This window comes from Homo sapiens, chromosome 8, assembly GCF_000001405.40.
Source record: "Homo sapiens chromosome 8, GRCh38.p14 Primary Assembly".
Classification (NCBI taxonomy): Eukaryota; Metazoa; Chordata; class Mammalia; order Primates; family Hominidae; genus Homo; species Homo sapiens.
This window is the reverse complement of record NC_000008.11, coordinates 143,517,273-143,530,860: the sequence shown is the minus strand read 5'-3', so window position 1 is coordinate 143,530,860 and position 13,588 is coordinate 143,517,273. Positions and strand designations below refer to the sequence as shown.

Genomic DNA, 13,588 nt, shown 5'->3' with positions numbered 1-13,588 from the left:
CCGATGCTAGAGGGGGCATTTGGGCAGAAGAGAAGAAAACCTTTTTGGAGTCTGAAAAATGGTGTCCTGTTTGCCACTCACATAACTGTGGCAATCAGTGTTCTCGAGTACAGTGTTTACAGTACACACGGCTGAGCACTGTGGCCAGGCTCTCACTGTGGTGCGGGGGAAGTGGGGCCAGCTTCGTGGTACATCCTCCTGGGGCCCGTCGCTGTGCTCGGCCACCCTGAGATGACAGGCATGACTCCCTAAGCCTGGCCGGCCTGTGCAGAGGGATGCTGTCCAGGCTGTACACTCCAGGCCAGGCCAGGAGTGAGGGCCAGCTCTCCCACCCACCACCCTGTGCCCAGGCTGGGGAGCTTCTTGGTGGCGGGAGGTGATGGGATTCCTACCAGCCACATGGAAACGTCTGCTATTTTACGCCAGGGAAAAGTCATGGTAGGTGGGTAGGCAGTGGTGTCGTCATCTGCTGGAGTGGGAGGGCCCTCTCTGCTTCACCCACCCAGGATGGTGGATGCATGCCGGTGGCCTGCCCCCTTCCCCCGTGGCCTGGAATAAGCCCAGGGCCCTGCCTGGGAAGCAGCCGCCTTCCCAGACTTGTCGCCAGTGTGCTGGTGGAGGGTGCGGGCCTGGCAGGTCCTGGGCACACCTGTGGTGGACAGAAAGGGCCTGGCTTGCGTGGTGGTCTCGTGTGGACAACCAGGCTGGGTCGAGGCCTGCCGGCTGCCCAGGCTTTGACAGGAGCCAGGCCGGGCATCTGCCTCTGGCCCAGAGCTTGCTGTACACACGGAGGGCGATTCCTACCCGTCCCTCAGTCTGCCGTGCCCGCCCCTGGGTGTGGAGGAACTGCTGTCAGCATTTGCAGATGAGAAGTGGAGTCTCCACTCACCCCAGCTCACTGGCAGAAAGGGCAGGCGTGGGTCTTGGACCCACCTCTGGCTGGTGTCACTAGGTGCCAGGGCTGTCCTGCCTGGGTGACTCTTTTGGGGCCTGGATGCCCATTCCCCGAGTCCGAGTTTCTCTGAGGAAGTGCTTAGGGAGAGCCTGTGTGAGCTGTTGGCCCTCAGCCCCTCCCTGCCACCAGGTGGTCGTGGCTTCCCCCAGCCCCAGAGCAGGACCCAGGTGGGACCTGAGAGGCTGGGGTCCCTCAGGCACACGGCGCTCTCTGGATACTGGGTCTCACCCTCTAGCCCTGGTGAAGCCAAAGGCAGCCTCCCCAGAGCCCTGGCCGCCCGCCCAGTCCTGTGTGGGGTCTCCCCCCGACTGTGGTGCGACATTTCCTGGAACGCTGCCTCCTGACTTCTCGGTCTCAGAAGGGCCTGCCTTGACGGCTGTTCATGTGACCTCTCTGAGTCCTCAGAGGTCCCTGGGGCCCTCCTGTGTCCTTGGGTCCTCCCTGTGCACACGATCCTTTCTGTGTTGCCTCCCGGTGCCTTGGAGAGGGGGTGGTTTGCCACGCAGCCCTGGCATCAGAGGCCTGGGTGGATTCTGCACCCAGCCCGTGCTGTGGCTTTGCACTGTTTGGCCACAGATGCTTATGGGGGTGTCACTGAGCAGGCACCAGCTTGGGAGTGTGATGGCCCCCTACCCCTCTGTCCCTCTGTCCCCAGCGGCTTCTCCCGGTGACCAGCGCAGCCTGTGGATTCCAGTGCATGGGAAAAACCCAACCGCTTTCTCTCGACTGGCCCTGCCCCACCTCGAAGGCCCGGCTTGCTCCAACCAGGCCCAACCTCTGGCCAGGCCCGTCCCCCACCCTTAGGTGTGCACAGTTTGCTCCCCTCATTCGGGAGTCTGTGAGGTGGGCCGTGGTCCATTCTGCCAGGCCAGCTCCTCTAAGATCGCGTGCCAGCCACCCCGCCACCATGGGCATTCCTTCCTCCTGCCTCATGTTTTGTATTGCAGGAATTGCCGGCTTATTGTCCGTCCTGCCTGTTAAGAAGGTGCTGTGGGGAGCACCCTGGCCGCCCTGCGTGCACGTGAGCCTCAGGCTGCGGCAGCTCCTGGTGAGGGTGAGGCGCCCCCCCTCCCAGAGGACTGGACCTGGGCAGAAGGGAGGGCCTCGCTCCCTCAGGAGGCCCCATGGGCAGGCCATGGGCGGGAAGGTGGGGCAGTCACCATGCTTAGCGGGCAACCGAGGGGTGAGGGCCTGGCAGAGGGCTGCCCACCAGGAGGAAAAGCCACACAGGGCTCCCTGCCCTGACGCTGTCCTGCCCCTTTGAGATGTGCAGGCCGGTGGAGGTCGGCAGCAGCACTCAGAGGCTCAGTGAGCAAGTGGGCAGAGTGCCACCAGCCTCGATCCCCGGCCTCCAGCAGAGGGGCTGGTTTCTGTGCCATCCTCGCCGTAACCTCCTGTGCCAGGCTGCTGGGAGGCCTTTCTGAGCCTGGCGATCTCCCCGGGAGGCTGGCCGTGGATGGAATGTGAGGCATGGGTGGAGCCCTGACCTGCTGCACAGAGCCTGAGGATGGAAGCTTGACCGTGGAGGGTGTCTGTCGCTGCCTGGCCGAGGCGTGGCCGCTGGCCCCACAGCGCCTCGGCAGTGCCGCCTGGCTTCTGTTGTGAGTTGGCTGGGTCTGGGTCCCAGCCTTGTGGGGAGCTGGAGCGCTGTGGTCAGAAACAATATGGCTCCCCTGCCCTGCGCAGAGATGAGTGGCGGCCCCCGAGGAGGCAGGAGCACGCAGGGCCCGAGGTGCACCGCAGGGTGGTTGCCAGGGTGGGCTTGCTGTGTCTTGGCAGTGGGGGAGGGTGCCAGGGCCAGAGGGGCCGGAGACTCTCCCCTGGCCCCAGCGAGAGTGAGGAGCAGGCACCCTGTCCCATGCTGCTAGGTACTGGGGAGCAGCCCCATGTCCGGTGCTGGAGGCCTGGACCTTTGCCGGATGCAGGAGGCAGGGTTATGAGCCCCCAGGCGTGGTGTGGGCGTGGCCTGGCGGGAGACTTTGGCCCTGTCTGCCCGTTCTCCTTGCTGGTGCTCGGTGCCCTATCTGTGAATGGGGTCAGGAATGTTTGCTGTGGGGCTGAGCGGTGCCTTTGGGTGCTTTGGCCCGGTGTGATGTTCCTGCTGGGCTGTGCTGCTGGCCAGCATTGCCCACCTGGGAGGCTCTGCCTGGTGCCTCTGGGGTATGTGATCCACCATTGCTTGCTGTGTGCAGCTGGGCTGTTCAATTTTACTGCGGTGAACCCCGTGAAAGGGCATGAGAGCAGTTAGATCTGGAGTCCTGCTTTCATAAGGGAAAAAGAAAATGCTGAATTAGGCTTCAGGAAAGGCAGCCACAGCGATCTTTGAATCTTGCATAAATTATCAGGCATGCCGGCGGCCTCCAGTTTTGCGTGGGTTGTGGCTGTGCTAATTAATTACTTCACAGAACTGGCGTGGGATCGCGTGTGTGCCGTGGTGGTGCTGCACTGTGCTGTGGGTGCCAAGCTGAAGACCTGGGCTGCGCAGGCAGGGTGGCGTTCTCAGGAGAGCCAGAACTCATACCACCGTAGGACCCTGGGTCCCCACACTGGGGACAGCTTGGGCTGCTCCTTTTGTTGAATGGATTGAGGTAGTCCTCTTGTCCCTCTCTTCCCAGCCCAGGGCTGGCACATCCCCCCAGTCACGTGTCTTGGCAGACTTTGAATCAAGTGCAGGACACCTGTCCGAGAGCCTGGGTAGGTCCCTCACCCTGGTGGCCTCTCTCAGGAGTCCACCAGGCAGTGGGTGTTGGGGTGCAGGACACAGGCTCTGTCACCACCTGCTAACCCCCACCAGGCAGCCAGGGGCACGTTGCCAAGTGCTCGGGTGGCGGGTGGGCACGGCACAGGGCCGTCCCGATGGCCACCCCTGCTGGCCTGGTCCTCCTCCCACTCTGCCCGCCTGTCCTCTTCCTGTGCCGGCCTCTCAGGGGTCTATCTTCAGGCATGGCCAGCAGGGCTTGTGCTGCTTGCCTCCTGCTTGCCTCCTGGCGGTGTCTTTTCACCAGCTCTCGGTTCTCCCACCAAAGTAATGGGGGCATGGCTCTGCCAGCCTCAGCTGGCCTCCTGTTGAGGGACTGGGGAGTGGGTGTGGCTCTGGGCACTGAGGCGGCTTTCCAGCTGGGGACGAATGTGGCCTGCACCTTCTGGGATTTGGCCCCTTCTCTGCATGGGGTCAGGATGTTGCTGGGCCCCTGTTTAGTCCCCTGCTGGGGCTGTAGCCTTCTGTGCCCCATCTGCTGCCCGTAAGTGGCCCCTGCCAGCCTCCTCTGTCTCTCCACCTTGACCCTTGCCTGAGGGCCCCTGCTGTGGTCCCACAGGTGGGTCGTGGCAAAGCTGGGTGTGGTCAGAGTCCATGTGGACTTGGGCATCGTCTGGGAACCCCGTGATCCCCACTGGTTGTTTCCCCCTGCACCAAGTCCAATCGCGTGCTGGGCGGGGTCCTGATGGGAAGGAAGTCCTGGTTCCCTGAGGGGTCTCCTGCTCGGCACCAGCAGCAGGACTGGGAGAGGAAGCAGCCCCAGGCCAGTGTCTCCTGCCCGCAGGCACCTGGTCTTCCTGCCACTCATTCTCCAGAACTGGCCCTGCCCTTGCTCACTGGGCATCCGCTGAGCTCTGGGGCTATGTTGGGACTGTGACTGGTGGGCCAGCCTGGCGAGGCCCTGATGTCATGGGTGTGACTCTTGGTGGGAGGTGCTGGGCTCTTGCCTGATGGCAGACAGAGAATGTCCAGCCAGGGTCTCTCCAGGGTTCTCCCACTGGACCCCCACTGAAGTCAGTGCCCTCTGTGGCCCCACTGGGGCAGCAGCCTGCATCCTAGCGTGGGTTTTGGTGTAGCCCTGGGTGGACTTGAACTATGGTGGCTGTGGGGGTTCTCCAGGCCCCCCACATCGTCAGCACCAGTGCCAGCACCCTGGGCTCTGGGCCAGCCGCAGGCCGATGCCGCTGAAGCGGGGCCAGTGCCAGGCCCAGGCGGACGGCAGGCTTGGGGTTGTGTGGCAGGCGTGGCATCCAGCTGGGTGGGGAGGCCTCCTGGGAGAGTGGTGCAGAGGCACTGCCCGCCTCCATGGCCTGGCCCATTCCCTGTCCTCCTGTCCCATCCTGTCCCTCGGTACAGAACTGCTTCAGTGAATGGCCAGCTCTGGTCACTGCGTGGGTGCTGAGTGGCGGCATCCCAGCTGGTCAAACTGTGCTTCCTGTAGAGAGGTGCATGGGAAGGCATAGCAGGAAGACCAGGGCTGTCTGTGGCACCCTTGACTGGAGCCCCCTCTTTCCAGGGCTGAGTCCGGTGACCGCAGCCTCTGGTCCGTGTCCTCATGGGAGCAGGGCGACATGCAAGGAGCCCCCTCAGGATGGGCCCCAGGGACGCTCCTCTCTCGGCTCCCAGCTGAGACCTCTCCCTTTCGTGCTGTGGGGTCCCTTGGGTGGCTCTGCCTGGAAAGGGACACAGAGTCTCTGGGCTCAGCTGTTCTGGAAAGGGCTGGGCCATGTGTCCCTCTTCAGGGCTTCTAGATGGCCACAGGAATCCTGAAGAGGAGACCGCGCCCACGCCCGTGCCTGCACCACCTGCCACCCCTCAGGGCCCTCCTTTCTGGTCCCCTCGCCTGTGGCTCTCCGAGGCTGTGCTGACCCTGCTGTCAGGAGCTTTCACTCAGCAGGAGGCTGGTACTGTCACCAGCTCCTGGGGGAGCCTCAGGGCAGGCCGAGCGCTGCTGGGAGGTGCCACCCAGGCCAGGAGAAGCCAAGCAAGTGCCATGGCTGTGTCTGGGCTTGGCTGGAGATGGCGAGGTGCGACTCTGCCTGGCCTGGGCCTTGGGGCTCACGGAGAGAGTAGATGGCATTTCAAGGGAGGTGTGTGGCTAGATACGATGACCGTAAGTTTAGCAGCTTGCAGACATCAAGTGTCAAGTTAGCTGTTGGTTTGCTCGAGTGTGTATTACAGAGCCCTGGTCTCGGAGATCAGCCCTGGGGCCCCAAGCTCCCTTCTGGTGCCTTTGATCCAGGGGCTGGTACATGTGCCAGCTTCTGCCACTGGTTGGTCTGCACAGCGTGGACACAGAGCATGGGCTTGGGGCAGAGCGTGGCTGGCAGGTGCCCTGCTGTGGGGTCTTGTGGGCAGAAGCATCAGCTGCCCTCCCTATTCCTCTTGTTCCCCCGGGGAGCTGAAGGCCAGGGCCACACGGCCACCAGTGCAGCGCAGCGCAGCTCACTCCCCTTTGCCTCGAAGGTGCTGCCCAGTGCAGGTGTCAGGTGTGTGCCTGAAGCTCACAGGGGCCAGTCTCCTCCCCAAGGGCCAGGGGCCAGCTGCTGTTGGCCGCTTCCTTGACCCACCTCTGTGCGACTTGCCTGCTGCTAGCGTGATGGGCTGGGGGCCTGGCTCTGAGGCTGCGGCCTCTTGGCCCAGCTGGGGTTTCTTTGAGGCCGACCAGCTGGCGGTGAGCTCTTGGCCCCTCGGCCGGGTGTGTCTGACCAGCACAGTCAGGCATGAAGTACTGAGGCTGTCCTGCGCTTCCAGTGGCTTGGCTCCTAGCAGAGCATGGCACATGTCAGGGCCCTGGGAACCTTAGCCCAGACTCCCAGGGAGCTCTCCCCTAGGGCCTGGTGTCATAGACTGTTTGGCTTCAGTAACTGTGGACTCTGGGACTGTGTCCCCACCTGCTGGAGTTGTGGGGAGGACTGAGGGAGTGGGGCTCAGAGCCCACCACGATCTGCTCTGTGCCGGCCATGTTGCTCCAGGGCCCATCCTGAAACAGGCTGTGGGCACTGCAGGGGCACTGTGCCCGGTGTCTCTCCCAGGCACACTTGCCCCTCCTGCCCATTAGGGGCTGGGGAGGCTGCCCGGGAGAGACGGGGCCACCTGGGAACACGGACTTCTGTTCCAGGCTTGCGCCCTCCCCCGCTGGCTAGCTGTGTCTGGGAGACTCCTGGCATCCAGGCTGCCCCGGGGGCTTGGCTGGCCTTGGGTGCTCAGACATGGCCCTGTGGGGCCTGTAGTGAGGCCCCGTCCTTCACCCGCCCCCAGCCCATGCCAGCTTGCTCTCCATCATCCTGCGGCCCCGCTCTGACTCAGTTGGCCCTGGAGCGTTGTGCTGCGTCTCAGTGTGCTCTGGCTCTAGCAGGTCAGCGGTGGGAGGCAGCAGCTCTTCTCTTGCTGATTGCCCTCTCCGTTATCTCGGGGTGATTCAGGGGTGGGGAGCCTGCGGAGAATGCACTCCTGGTGGCGTGAAGCCTGGCGGTGGCCACTTCCCTAGAATGCAGCAGAGGGTCTGCCTGCCCAAGCTGGATGAGGACAGGGGTCCTCAAACGGATGTCCTGGAATTCTGAGCTGTGGTCTCCTACTGCCTCTGGGAGCTCACCAAGCTGGTGCCTGAGGGATGGTGGCAGTTGTCCTGAGGTGGCTTCCGTCTGTAGGGCCACATGGAGCTTGCAGCGGGGAGTGTCTTCCAAGATGGCTGCAAACACCACCCTCCCTGAGATCACCTTCCAGACAGGGCACCGGGAAAACATGAACTGCAGGGGCGTCGCGGCAGCATTCTGAAGCTGCCTGCTCTTGTGGGACCCCCATCTGGCTCTGAGCCGCTGGCGCTGCAGGTGAGCTTGGTTTCATCGTGCGTCTGTCTTTGCTATAGCCCCTGGGGACGTGGAGCAAGCCTGGAGGGTTGTGTGCAGTGGGAGGTGTGGGGGCCAGGTGGTCCAGCCAGGGTCTGCCCACCAGAGTGCTGGTTGACGAGGGAGTAGTGGCCAGCACTGCTGAAAGCAGGAGGAGGTAAAGCACCTCTTCCAGGGAGAAGAGGCCCAGTCTGGGGCACCTCTGGGCAGGGCTTGTGGCAGATTGCCCCGTCACTAGCCCCTGACCCTGAGGGGCCCTGGACTATCAGGATGAGGGGGCTCAGGTTCTGTGTATGTGAAGGGCTAGGCTGGATGGCTCCAAGTCACCCAGGACAGGACTCTTGCTGAAATCAAAGGGCAATATATATATATATTTTTTTGAGACAGGGTCTTGCTCTGTCACCAAGGCTGGAGTGCAGGGGCGCCATCTCACTGTAATCTCTGCCTCCCAGGCTCAAGTGATCCTCCCAGCTTAGCCTCCCAAGTATCTGGGACTACAGGTGTGCGCCACCACACCTGGCTAATTTTTGTATTTCTTTTTTTTGTAGAGACAGGGTCTCACCATGTTGCCCAAGCTGGTCTCCGATTCCTGGGCTCAGGCGATCTGCTTAACTTGGCCTTCCAAAGTGCTGGGATTCCAGGCGTGAGCCACTGCACCCAGCCCAATATATTTGTGTGTGTGTGTTTTTTTTTAAGACAGAGAGTCTTGCTCTCTTCCCTAGGCTGGAGTGTGCAGCGGCACAGTCTTGGCTCACTGCAACCTCGACCTCCTGGGTTCAAGAGATTCTCCCACCTCAGCCTCCCCAGTAGCTGGGATTACAGGCTCACGCCATCACATCCGGCTAATTTTTATGTTTTTGGTAGAGATGGGGTTTCACCATGTTGGCCAAGCTCGTCTCGAACTCCTGACCTCAGGTAATCCTCCGGCCTTGGCCTCGCAAAGTGCTGGGATTACAGGCGTGAGCCACTGTGCCTGGCTTCCAATACATTTTTAATGAGGCAAAGGAAATAGGCCTGTAGTGAGGTCAGGGAGTCTTCTGTGCTGTGAGGTGCTGTGGCCCACAGGGTTGTGTGTGGCCCATGTAAAGGCCTGTGAGGAGCAGCATGACGTTTGCAGTGAGCCAGGCTCTGATGAGGCCACAGGTCATCAGTTCTGTTTCGGGGTGAACTTGGATCCCTAGGGAAGGCCGACAGAGGACCAGGCGTCAGGGGGCTCAGCACTGGGCCACACGCTTACAGGGTGACCAGCAGCAGAGGGACCCCAGAGACACACCTGGGTGGACACACCCCTTCTAGTCTGACCCTTCCATAGAGGGCACTTTGCGGGTATCCCCTGAGCCCCCAGCAGGGAGGACTCCCATGGCAGCCGTGCCCACTGATGCTGGCTCTCCTTTCAATATGGGAGCCGCCTCTGTGGCCAGAGGCTGGGGCTGCATTGTTGGGATGGTGGGGTGGAGAACAGAAAAACCCTCCCTCCTGTTCCAGCACCCCTGAAAGATGCATGTGTGCTCAATTTACGTTCTTCCTGGGGACCCCTTCTGGGGGCCCCAGACTCTGAGAGCCCCAGGCAGGTGCACTGGTGGGGGAGGGGCTGAGTCCTGGCCTCACGGCTGTGGGGTGGTGAGAATGAAGTAAGGCGGTGCGGGGAGGCTGCTTGGATAGGGCTGGCCTCCCAGGAAGTCCTCCATGCCTGTCCCACCTCCTGCCTGCCCCGGTGGGTGCCTCTGGAGGGTTGCAGGCGTGGCTTGTTTCTGGGCCCTTTGAAAACACAAGTAGCAGATGCCCCATGTGCAGGAGGCCCGGAGCTGCTCCAGCCTGGGCTTCCTGCCCACACCCAGTCCTCCCGGCCTGCTGGGAGCTCCCCAGAGGCAGACATAGTGCTGGGGGCAGGGGCTGCCCATGGGGCACCAGGACTTGAGGAGCCCTCAAGACCTGGGAGGGGGTACCAGTGGGTGGAGTGTGGGGTCAGTCCCTTCAGACTTTCGAGGCTCCACCCACATATCACCACCTTCACGGCCTGGATCTTGGTGTGCTCGGTAGCCCTGTGACCTCGGGCCAGTGCCCCCACCCGCGCCTCTGCCCTGTGTCTCCAGCCTCCTTGCCTCGTCTCGTTGGCAAGGCCTCTTGGGAGGAGCCAGGCTGCCCCTGGGGTGGCCGTGGTTTTCTTGTTGAGAACCCTCTGGGCTGGGCAGGGGCTGTGGCGGGGCCGGGCCTGCCCCTCCCAGGGTCTGTTTCACTGCCCCAGGCCAGCTGTTTGCAGCTGAGAGCCCTGTGGGCCGGGCGGGCCGTCTACCTGTGTGGCTGTGAGTGTGTGTGGGAAACTTGCTGCTATGAAGCCTGATCCCCTCTCTGGGTATACGGGCCAGAAACCCAGCCATGGAGGGTGCTGCTGGGCAGAGCACCAGCCAACGAGGCAGGGAGGGGGCAGCTCCTGGCCTAGCTCCTGGGCAGGGGTGGGCCCTAGTGGGCACCGTGAGCTGCCTGTCAGTGGGAAATCAGATGTTCTGTCCCATGGGGCAGAAGGACACTGTGAGATTCAGCCCCACAGCCCTGTTAGCGGGGCAGTGCTGGCCAGCTGGGATCTGGGGTGTCTCGAGGTGGACGCTCACAAAACGTGGAAAGGCCTAGAACCTTGTGGCAAATGGAAACGGCTCAGCCTGGGCTCTGCCTGAGGATTGGAGGACGCAAAACTTGGCTCCAGCCAGAAGCTTACAAGGCTGGGTGATCTCGGGGTGTCTGGGTGGGCCCGGCTGAAACCAGCACCCTGCGGTACATCTCTGACCTGCACCCCGGTGCTTCCCAGCCGGTTCCCACTGCGTGGGCCTGGGAGGACGAAGCAGCACCAGGGCTGTGTGGGGGCGCAGGGTGGGCAGCTGGCCATCGGCTCCACCACCCCCAGGCTTTCCTGGTGGCCTCCAGCTGCCCCCTCACCGCATGCAGGGCTGGAGTGGCCCCGGAAGGGTGCTCTTACTTCCTCCCAAGTCGGGGTCCAGCAGGGGAGCCTGCCCCCAACCTGCCCTCTCCCGGGAGACATCAGTCCCCTGCTGAAGAGCTCTCAGCCTCTTCTTTGTTCTGTTGAGGGGGAGACCCCACCTGCCTCTTTCTCATGGTGGCCCCTAGGCAGCATTTTCATGATGCTGGCCATGCATCCAGGGCTGGGGCTGCCCTGCAGAGCTCTGGGCACCCCCACCGCTCCTGCCTTCTGCCAGGGCCCCTCCTTGAGCCCCGAAGAAGCCCACCCAGTTCCATTGTGCCTTCGTGTGGGAAGGAGGTGGGTGGGGCGAGCAGTGCTGTTCCAGTCCTGCCAGGCCTGGGGGGCGGCCCTAGGCAGGCTGGGGGGTGGTTTGCGTCTGTTGGGATGGCATGGGGCTGGCGCAGCTCCCCTGTGGCACCGTCGGGCTCAGAGGTGCTGGGCCGTGGCTTCCCACAGGGCAGGGCACCTCTGGGACTGCGGGGGTGTCCTGCGTCCCCTGCAGTGCAGCCTTTGGGCCCGTGATGAGTCCTGTGCATGGATGGAGTGGTGGCCTTGGCTGCCCTGGGGTCTGGTCAGGCTGTTGTCCCCAGGTGGCCTGAACGTGGGGCCTGCGGCTGTGAAAGGTGAGGCGGGCCGCTTGCCCCGTGCTGCTGTGTGGGCCGCTGTGGCGCATGTGCACGCACACAGCACGGCACGCTCGCCTGTCCTTCCCACGGGTGCCAGTGTGAGCACACGTGAACACTGGTCAGATCCTGCCTGCCGCTTGGGGCTTGCCTCCGGGCAGCCTGAGCCTCCGTTTCTGCGGCTGTGATGTGGGGTGCTCAGGCCTGGGGTAACGAGGAATGCAAGGCTTACTCATTTTTAACCTTTGCGCTTTCAAGACACATGAGCTCATCTTACCGAAAGATGAGCTCCCAACCCCAGGTCCCTCCCATTGCACTATGGTCTGGGGCCCTGAAGGCCAGGGCTGGCACTGGCCCCGGTGGTTCTCACCCACCCTTCCCTGTGTTGGCCCCGAAGGCTGGAGCCCCAGGGCATTGGCCAGGAGTCTAGTTAGGGGGAATGGAGCTGGTAGGGGGCCTGTCTGCAGCCTGCCTCCCCAGCTCCTACCCTGACCCGAATGCTGGGCCACTGCCTGCCTGGCCCTGTGCCCCACTGCCCCCAGTCAGCCGTCAGCACACTCGCTGCTACCCCTCTCCTCCCCTCCTTCAGAGGCCGGTGAGTCACCTTCCTGGGGAGGCCGGCGTAGTGCTCGCTGCACCCTGGCCTGGCCTTAGCCCCCATAGGGTCCCTCGCTCACTGTGCACTGGGGATGCATCACCGGGAGGCAGGCATTGCTGCTGGGGCTGCACCCCGTGCTTGGGGATGGAGGATCCAGAGGAGAGGGGATGGGCTTCCCTCAAAGGCAATGGGCTGCCTGCCGGGCTGGTGCCACCCCGGTCAAGGCCAGGGGAGCCTCTGTCCCTTGCCCCTGTGGCTCCCGTTGGGTGGGCTGAGGGCAGGGATTCCTTTGCTGCCTTCTCAGGGTCCCCAGTTGCACGTTTGTATGTGCCAGAGGGAGCACAAGCGGTCGGGCCAGTGTCCCTGAGACTGCGATTGTGGCTCCCACGTGCCATCTCCAGCTTTGGTGGGCCTGGCCCCGGTGCTGTGGCTGCCAAGACCAGCCCTGGAGGAGGCCCTCAGGGCACACCTGGTGCCTGGCATCCACGACCTCCCCTCTGCGGCCTGCCCACTGTCCCGCAGTCACAGGAAAGGCCAGGAGTGGCCCAGAGGAGAGCGGCATGTGGCCGGGGAGTCCTGGCAGCCTGCGGTTTCTGTCTGAGCGGGACACGTCGTTTCTCTCAGGGGCCGCTGCTTTCTGTGGAGGGTGTTGCCAGGACTCTCTCCAAAGAGTCTTTCTTGGGCTATGCTCAGAGGAAGCAGAAGAGGATTCCTGAGAGAAGGCCGTGCCACATGGCGGAGCTGGGTCTCCGTGCCGCCCGGCAGCCAGTTGGCCCCAGATCTGTTCCACTGACCTTGGGATCCAGCCAGGCCCAGCCATGTGAAGGTCAGGGGTGGGCTGGGAGGGAAGGGCCTCGGGCTCCCTGGGTTAGGCTGAGGCCGTTTCCAGCCTGGACTGCCCAGTGGAATCACCTGGGTCCCCCCAGACAGGAGCCTGACTCTGCGCTAGGCCATCCTGGCCCTGGAGCTGCCTGCTGGCCCACAGCGCCAGCCCCTCCTGCAGCACCAGGGCCATGGCGCTCATGCAGAAGGGCTGGGGGCCCTGTGGACCAGGAGACCTGAGGCTGTGCTGAGTGGCCGCCTCTAGGTCCTGTACCCTGAGACGTGGTGGCCAGGGCCTCGGGGCTTGGCCGTGCCTCACTCAGAGCCTGGAGCTGCTGTCCTGGCCCCGAGCAGGTCTGTCCTCTGGGGGCTGCTCTTCCGCCCTCGAGTATCTGAGTGCTCCCAGTAACTGTGTGTGCAGGTGGGGCAGGGAGCACAGGTGGGCCTGGAGATTCGGGGAGGGAGCTCAGGTGCGGGGCAGGCAGGAGCGGGGGGTCAAAGCAGAGACAAGGTGAAGAGGCGTTCTCAATCCGGCAGAGCTCCCAGCCCTGGGAAGGGCCCGTCCCAGGTGCCTCTTATGGCCAGACTGGGAGCAGGTGAGCCGCAGGCCTGGGGTTCTGAACACACAGGCTGGCTGGGGCTGCAGGCCAGTGGGGAGAGCTTGGGAGACGTCGTTCACAGAGCACGTGCCCTGGGCCCCAGTGCCCTTCTTTGTGAAGTGGGGACCGAGGCTGGGTGCACGCTTGGCCACACACACACCTGGCCAGGCCCAAGCCCAGCTGTCCTTCGCTGCAGCCTGCATGCCCCGAGCCTACCCCACCTGCTTGGAGCGCGGCCTGGGGTACAGGCCCAACTTGGTCCGGTTTCCTCCTGCTCCTCTGCACCCCTGCCCAAGGCCTGTGTTCACCCTTTTTGGGAACCCCCTTAGCTGCCTGCTGCACTGTCTTCTCCAGCCGTGGAGGGCAGGGAGGCCCCCTCCCTTCCCCTGCACCTGAGGCTGGGTAGAGCCG

The 13,588-nt window shown here is 63.3% G+C and overlaps 1 protein-coding gene across 4 annotated transcripts in view; it reads left to right on the top strand.

Annotated features, from left to right (window-relative positions):
• Nucleotides 1-13,588, top strand: part of ZC3H3 (zinc finger CCCH-type containing 3) — a 103,789-nt gene that overhangs the window by 10,587 nt on the left and 79,614 nt on the right. The window contains exon 4 of one of the 4 annotated variants that reach the window (XR_928313.4): nt 7,364-7,543. The exons of the other annotated variants lie outside the window; for them this stretch is intronic. The gene's annotated coding sequence lies outside the window, so the exon portion shown is untranslated. The remainder of the gene's footprint in view (nt 1-7,363; nt 7,544-13,588) is intronic. 4 annotated transcript variants of the gene reach the window in all.